General features: G+C 44.1%; 2 annotated features.

Moving 5' to 3' along the window:
- Positions 5,732–6,236: an enhancer, noted in NCBI's record as "H3K27ac-H3K4me1 hESC enhancer chr8:55158613-55159117 (GRCh37/hg19 assembly coordinates)". NCBI's record gives its function as "activates a minimal SCP1, AML or CMV promoter by ChIP-STARR-seq in primed H9 embryonic stem cells {active_cell/tissue: H9 hESC(primed)}" and the evidence as "EXISTENCE:reporter gene assay evidence [ECO:0000049][PMID:30033119]".
- Positions 6,237–6,741: an enhancer, noted in NCBI's record as "H3K27ac-H3K4me1 hESC enhancer chr8:55158108-55158612 (GRCh37/hg19 assembly coordinates)". NCBI's record gives its function as "activates a minimal SCP1, AML or CMV promoter by ChIP-STARR-seq in primed H9 embryonic stem cells {active_cell/tissue: H9 hESC(primed)}" and the evidence as "EXISTENCE:reporter gene assay evidence [ECO:0000049][PMID:30033119]".

Here is an 8,542-nt window from a genome sequence, read left to right as displayed (position 1 = left end):
ATTGACTCAAAATTATAAAAAGAAGGGAAGAGGAGACAATCAAAGTTAAAAAAAAAAATTCAGTAAATTGCGTAGACACAAAGTAGAAGGAGGCATGGTAGCTGACTTAGCCCAATCTAAGCATGTGCCTGAGGGAGCTGAGAGGCCAGCAATTCATTCCCAGACTCTCAAGGACAGCGTATCCTGGAAGGAAGGAGGAGGTGCCATACAAACCAGAGAATCGTGTGAAACCGGACAAAGAAGACCTAGATCCTAGGTCGGCCCTGACATCACCCACAGCTGGCAGCAACTTCCTTTCTATCCCCATTCTCATCCCCTCCCTCTTTTCCAAGACCAGAGCCAGAAGAGGGCAGGATTGAGAGGACAACTCACACAGGATACTTCCCTACTGGTCCACCTATGCACCTTTGGAGTCTGGCTCTCTGTCCTGCTCAGAGGTACCAGCAGCCACCTCTACCTCCTCCCCCATCAGGTAGAAAATAGAGCATTATTGTTCACCCAAGAAAGTCCCAGAGAAAATATATCCAGATGGTGACATCTGAGAGTTCCCCAGTGAAGCGATTGTCTGTCCTGCATGTCTTACCGTGAAGCTTGCCAGGTAGCAAGCCCCTGCAACATGCCAGGGTCCCAGTGAGCATTTGACTGCCTCACTCTTAGATGCAAAGACACAGCTGCAGATCATTCTACATTTGAAGAAAGCTTCTTACATGAAAAAGAGTATGAGCTAAGGTTCTGAGAAAAATGGCCGGCATACTAAAACTTGGAAATTTAAAGTCAGTTTACTGGAGGAACAGTCCACAAAAGCAAGCAGTGCTCAGAGGCTAGCAACAAAGTCTGCTGAGCCACAAGGAGCAGCTGCCAACATCTGCAGAATGTCACTGTGGAGAGGCCACTCACCTGGAACACTGGACTGTCAGGGAAGAATCTAGCTTCCCTGGCTAGGAGGAGCCTGGGGGAACCCATACTCTGATCCCCTCTCCCCGTCCCACTCTGCCACAAGCACAACCCAAACACACTAGAGGCAAAAGAAGCTGCTAGAGGCAAAAGTCACCATAGCAAAAAGCAGAAGGGTGGGGCCGGCGGGGCTGGAGTGTAGACTGGGAGGACAAATGGAAGATATTCATCAGCAGACCAAAACAAACAGAGAAGCACAGGAAGGGGGGGACCAGAAGAAGCAAAGACAGTGCAGAGAATAGAAGGAACCATAACACCTTCAAAGAAAGATGATGGGAAGTGTGTGTGTGTGTGTGTGTGTGTGTGTGTGTGTGTGTATATATATATATATATGCACATATACATATCTGAGATATGGAAAGGATTAAAGAAGAAAAAGACCATGGGTCGCATGAATATCAGATTTGAAATTTTAAAAATCAATGGAATGTTGAATATTAAAATCAAATAAATGTAGATTATAAATAGGAAATAAGTAAAATATTTAATAGGTGGATCCAAAAGTTGTAACATCTGATAAATAGCATTCCATATAAAGAAACCAGAAAAAATGAGGGAGTTCGATCATAACAAATAATATCTGAATAATTTCCACAATAAGTGGAATTAGGTAATATTTAGCAGTTTGAAAAAATCCACCAAATACCCTCCACAATTTTTTTTTAATTCATGCAAAGACATATCGTTGAAAATTTTGTCTCCCTATATGTGAACAGAAGGAAGAAAAGTAAGCCAGGTGACAAACAAAGGAAAAGGAATCCAAATGCCATCAAATTTCTTAACAGCCAAGCTGGATGTTACAGAACTTTGAAATTCAAACAGAATTTTATACCCAGTCAAGCAATTAGTGAATTGTGAGGATAGAATAAAAATGTACAAAGAATCAGAAAACTGAGCTCTCATGTAAGCCCTCTTGGGTGCTATCAGAGGGTGTGTTATGCAGTAAAACAAGGGGACGAACCAAGAAAAAAGGGCATACGGGAGCCCACTACAATTGAAATGTAATATACACAACGAATCCTTCAAGGAACAGCAGCATGCAGAGCCAAGGGAGGAGGCGGACCCTTGCCCCGCCTGGTGTGGCTCGAGTGCCAAAGGTAGGGACAGACGCGATTCCCACGTGGTGGCCTTCTCCTGCTAGCCTACCTTGGTCCTCTTTGACTTCCCTGGCTAGTGGGCCCACTTCCTGCAGATGCAGAAGGTCAAGTCGGGGCCATTGGCCGTCACCACAAGCAGCAGGAGCAGAAGAGGAACCAGTCACAGATAGATCATATTTTATTGATGATAAGATGTACACCTTTTCACACCCTAGCATGTCTAGTACTAGACTTCATCTCCCAGCTGATGACATTTACAGTGGATAAGGTGGAGGTGGATGCTGCCCTGATCCCCCTCCAAGTCCGTCTTCCTGGAGTGTTGACAGAGGACAGCTCTTAGCTGGGTGACCCTTTCAGAGAGTTGCCTGCTGTTGGAGAAAGCCGCACCCCACATCCAGTGACAAGTCTGTGCACGGGCACAAAGTTCTGGCTCCCGAGCCCTCGTGGCAGACGTCTTTGAAGCGCTCCGACTGCAGCGTCCCCGTGGCTCTGCTGAGGCCCCTCCCTGTTCAGCGCAGCTCACTCCTCCCGCTGCCCCGCCCTCTGCCCTCACTCCCATCCAGGCATTGTTCTGGGGTGCTCTTCCCTATCAACCTGCACTCAGATCACCTAATCAGAGGAACCGGCTTAAGTCAGCATGTCACAGTTTGATTGGGAGTCCATTTTTCTTTCTTAATTTTCCCTAAAAGAAAGGTGTGACACACCATCAGATTCCATAGAATAAGCCAGGAGTTAGCCAAGAGCAAGGGTCAGGAGGTGGGGAAACAGCCTGGAGCAGCCAGTAGAGACTAGATCACAGCAGCCAATACAGACTAGATTGTAAAAGGCCTTGGATGCTGCTCAGTTGAGCTCAGACTTTGTCTTGAAGGAAAGTAATGTAACCAAATTTTGTTTCTGAAAAGATCAGCCTGGTTGAAGGGTGGATTATGCTAGCAGAAGACAAGCTTTGGAGCAGAGGGAAAAGAACAAGGCTGCTGAAATCGCTTGCAGTAGGGAATAGTGGTTGTAGAAATGCAGAGGAGTGTGTTATGCAGGTGGAATCTGTAAGATTTGGTGACTATTAGGGCTGTGCAGATTTCTGGAAAGGGCAGGCTCTGGCTTGGGCACCACATTTGAACAAGCCCAAGATGCATCATTATTTTATGCACTACTGACAAAGAAAAAATGCACCCAGCCACACAATGACTTACCATGCACTGTAAGACACATCCCGATGTCAGAGATGTAAAAAGGTAGAAAAGCATACATATTAGCATTGAAAAAAATACAATACTTGTACTTTTGAGTCAGCTTCAGTCACCTACTTTGGGAAGTTTTCTGGCATCCCTAGGATTGATTCAGATGCACTTTGAGTGCTTTCAGAGCAACCTGGGTGCTCAGTCTTGTCAAAGAATTAGTCCTGTTATCCTCTCAATCCTGTTATTATCTTAGTCATTTTTAAGCGTGTAGTTCAATGGTTTAGTACACTCACGTTATTAAGCAACCGTCACCTCTATCCATTTCCAGAACTTTTTCATCTTGCAAAACTGAAGCTCTGTACCCATTAAACAATGACTCCCTGTTCCCCTTCCCCCAGCCCCTGGTAACCAGGATTCCAGTTTCTGTACCTGTGGAATTGACTGCTCTAGGAACCTCACATACATGGAATCATACAGTATTTGTCTTTTCATGTTTGGCTTATTTCACTTTGCATAATGTCCTCAAGGTTCTTCCAGGTTGCAGCACATGTCAGAATTTTCTTCCTTTTTAAGACTGAATCACATTCCTTTGTATGTCTATACCAAATGTTGCTGATCCATTCATCCATCTACAGACACTTGGGTAACTTCCACCCAGCTCTTGGCGATTGTGAACAGTGCTGCTGTGACCACGGCAAAGATCTCTTCAAGACTCTGCTTTCAGTTCGTTTGGATATATACCCAGAGGCAGGATTGTGGGATCACACAGTGGTTTTATTTTCAATTTTTTGAGGAACCGCTGCACCGTTTTCCATAGCTGTTTTTCACCATTTCACAATCCATCAACGGTGTGTAAGGGTTCCAGTTTCTCCACATTATTGCCAACACTTATTCTCTGTTGTTGTTTTTTAAAGTAGCCATTCTAATGGGTTTGAGGTGATATCTCGCTGGTTTTGATTTGCATTTCCCTGATGATTAATGATGTTGAACATCTTTTCATATGCTTATCGGCCATCTGTATTCTTCTTTGGAGAAATTTCTATGCAAGTCTTTTTCTCTTTTTTTTTTTTTTTAAGAAAATAAACTTGTTCTTTAACGGGGACTGGGAAGGACTGTCCAGGCTGGGAATGAGGTTAGGGTATCAGAAGCACAGCCCCCTGAGGGCTGAGTCATCTGGGGCCTCCTGGATCTGTTCTGCAGTTTGAATGCAGCCTTCTCAGCAATTGTGGAAAGTGGTCACATGATAGCACCCAGCACCCAGGGTACAGCAGCTGGCAGACACCAGCAAGCAGGCAGGCAGTTGCCACAGGACCTCCCAGCAGGATGAGGGCAGCTCCAGGCCTAGGGGTCCCATGGTCCGGTCCACCCAGGTGGAGCCCAGGAGTGCCAGTCCCCAAAGCCACTGTGCTAATTTCATCATGGTCACTCTTTGCTCCACGTCTCCCCTTCCCCGTGCAGCCCTGATGTCAGTGTCCAGAAGTCCTCTCTCTGCCCATTTTTTAATTGAGTTTTTTTTTTTAATTGTGGTTGAGTTGTAGGATTCCTTTATATATTCTGGATATAAACCCCTTATGAGATACATGATTTGCAAAAATTTTCTATGATTCTATAAGCTGCCTTTTCTCTCTAGTAATAGCATCTCTTGATGCACAAAAGGTTTTAAGTTTGATGTAGTGTCATTTATCTATTTTTGCACTTTTTTTTTTTTTTTTTTGAGGCAGGGTTCACTCTGTCACCCAGGCTGGATTGCAGTGAAGTGAACTCAGCTCACTGTAACCTCTGCCTCTTGGGCTTAAGCAATCCTCCCACCTCAGCCTCCCGAGTAACTGGGACCTGTCACTATACCCAGATAATTTTTTGTATTTTTGGTAGAGACAAGGTTTGTCATGTTGTCCAGGCTGTTCTCAAACTCCTAGGCTCAAGCAATCCTCCTGCCTCGGCCTCCCAAAGTGCTGGGATTACAGGCATGAGCCACTGTGCCCTGTCATCTATTTTTGCTTTTTATTGCCTATGCTTTTGGTATCAGATCCAATAACTCATTGCCATATCCAATGTGATGAAGTTTTTTCCTATGTTTTCTTCTAGGAGTTTTATGATTTCAAGTCTAATACTTAGGTCTTTAATCCATTTTGAGCTCATTTTTGCATATGGTGTAAAATAAGGGTCCAACTTCATTCTTTTCCACATGAATATCCTGTTTTCCCAACACCATTTATTGAAGAGACCTTTCTTTCCCCCATTAAGTGGTCTTGGAACCCTTGTTGAAGATCATTTGGCTATATACACAAGAGTTTATTTCTGGGCTCTCTATTCTATTGCATTGGTCTATAGGTCTATTCTTTTGCCAGTACCACACAGTTTTGATTACTGTAGCTTTGTAATATGTAATACGAAATCAGGAAGCATTCACCTCCTTTGTTCTTATTTTTCAAAATTATTTTGGGTATTTAGGGTCCCTTGAGCTCTTATATGAATTTTAGGATGAACTTTTTTCTATTTCTGCAAAAAACACCAAAGGGATTTTGATAGTACACCCAGTTTTTGTGCACATCAAGTTTGCAGTTTCTGTGAGATATCCAAGTCCAGTAGGTAATTTATATAGAACTCACAGGCACCGAGGGCAGAATCGGTCACCTTACATAACATGTCTGCCTTCCCAAGAAGCTTCAAGTGACTGGTGCCTTTCAAGATGGCAGCAGGAAAATAAATCACAAAAGAAAAGAGGTGTTTTTGTTGTTGATATTTTCTTGCAAGTACTGCATCTCTATTCATCCATGGAGTCTACATACAGTATTTTAAAAATAAAGTAATTTGGCCTGATTCTCCTCAAAGAGAAAAACAAGACTTTCCTAAATTTGAGAGAGGACACACTCTGTAAGCCAAGGAGGAGGCTATCACTCACCCCTCTCCTTTCCTTTGACCCATATGCAGCAGCCCAGCGCCCAGTAACAGCTTGGCAGGGTAGCCCAGTGGCCAGGCAGCCGGCTTGCCCAGGCATTCCCCGTCCCACCTGGCCGGCACCACAGCCCCACCACCACGTGCAACTGCTTGGGAGGATGGAGAGCAAGGACACAGAGCTCAACAGGGAAGCGCTCCAGACCAGACGCAGAATCCTGGAGCACACACCTAGATTTGTCCTCAGCAAATTCCAGGCAGGAATTTTTATTATCTGCTAAATGGATTTCCAAATACTTCTAGACAGTATACTAAGCTCTACAAAGAAATCACTATTCCAGGGCTTCCCTTCTCTTGAAACTGTATTTCTCTCTGGGATGCTAGAAGTTGGAGTGAAAAAAAAGGTTTTTCTGAGCAGGTATGTTCATAAAGCTTAATTGCCATAGGCTTTCTTATTTTTCCTTCATTTTCTGTCAGTGCCCAGAGGGTGGCTAAGGGGGCCCCATCTCCACAACCATCTGCATTGCATTGGAATCGCTGGGAGCGCTTATTTAATTCCTATTCCTGGGGCCCACTCCATACCTACTGAGGTCTGAGGATGTGATCCATGAATTTGCATTATGAACAAGCTCCCCAGGAGACCCTTAGGCATATTAACATTTGAGAAGCACTGAACTAGAGCAAATAGATATCACAATCATAGAATAATAATGATTCTTGCATAGTTTCCAACATAGAGTTGGATATTCATTCAGATGGTAAGGCATTTTATCCATTTGGTGTATGTTGATTCTCCATTAGAACCTATATTTCTGTTTAAATCTTTTAAACTTGAAGCTTTTTATTTAAGAAATACAAAAGTAAAGTTTGCTTTCAGCTGTGTTACTGACTTTCTCTTTAAGATTAAATAAAATCCCAACCCTCCTTCCCATCCTGATTCTCATACTTGGGAAATCCTTTACACTAGCTGTTAAAATCATTAAGCCAATGTCCCCGATTTAATCTTTAAGGTTGACCAGCCAGCATTGAGTCACTGTAATCTTCTGGGTCAGGCAGGAAAAGAATTGACGTCGTTACAAAATACCACTGCGTAAGTGTGTTTGAGAAAATGGCAGCCAAGTGTACACGGCCGGGTAAGGAGAGGCGAAGAGCAGTGGGCCTTGAGCAGGGGAGCGGGGAGTCCCTGGCACTCAACGCTGCGCCGCTGAGAGGCCCCGTGGGAGCTGTCGGGGATCCATGGCACACTTTCTCTGACATAACACATCTCAGTGAGTTATCAAGGTGTTTCCTCTCTCCAGAACGTCAAGCAGCCTGTGAGAAATGATCATTTGGCATGGGTTGTGCTCCCGGGTCAAATGCAGTCAGGGATGTCTCATACAAAGGGGCTTCCACCGTGAGCCAGCAAAGTGGATGTGCAGCTAAAAACAGACACGTAAAAATAAACCTTCAACTCCTCACCCCGTGCACTGAAGATGTTTTCCAGAAAACCACACACAATCTAAATAGCCTTGGACTTAGCCAGCTCCTTTCTCCAGCTTTTACTTTTTAAAAAAGGAAGAATAAAAAAGTGGATCAGCTGACCTCGTTGGTTGATCTCACTAGCCTGTAATATCGTCCCAAAGAGAGTTAGTGACACAAGCATGCCCAGTCTCGCTGGCTTGTTTCTACCTTTCAGAAACAAACAAAAAAGTTATTATTAGCCATTAACCTAATATCTTAAATTAATACAAGTACTCCCATGCCAGAAATTAATGTTAGCATTGAACTCAACTTTATTTATCTTTTTTTCTTACACTGAGCCTTGCTCTGTCACCCAGATGGGAGTGCAGTGGACGATCTCAGCTCACTGCCACCTCTGCCTCCTGGGTTCAAGCAATTCTCCTGCCTCAGCCTCCCTAGCAGCTGGGACTACAGCCACCCACCATCACATCCAGCTAATTTTTGTATTTTTAGTAGAGATGGGGTTTCGCCATGTTGGCCAGGCTATTCTCAAACTCCTGATCTCAAGTGATCCGCCCCCCTCGGCCTCCCAAAGTGCTGGGATTACAGGCGTGAGCCACCAGCGCATTCAACTCAATTTTAAAGAGATATGGAAAGATCCAATCACACATTCATTCTCTCTCCCTGTTTCTATTTCTCTGTCTTCCCCAGCCCTCTCTCAACTTAAATCAAAGGGAGGAAAAACTCGAGATAATTATCTGAAGATGGAGAGGTAGAAAATGAGGTCAATCAGTTTAAATTGCCCGGGGCCTGTGATGGTGTGGACAAGCAACTTCAGGAACTACTGCACCCTACAAAGAGTCAAGCATTAAAGCAAGGCAAATCTCAAGATAATTCACATCAAAATTAAATTTTTAAAAAATCCTGTGGTTTCCTGGAGCGTTGTGTCTATCGTCTATTTCACTGTCGCCGCAGGGT

This window comes from Homo sapiens, chromosome 8, assembly GCF_000001405.40.
Source record: "Homo sapiens chromosome 8, GRCh38.p14 Primary Assembly".
Lineage (NCBI taxonomy): Eukaryota > Metazoa > Chordata > Mammalia > Primates > Hominidae > Homo > Homo sapiens.
The sequence above is the reverse complement of the archived record's forward strand: the minus strand, read 5'-3'. Positions and strand labels throughout refer to the sequence as shown.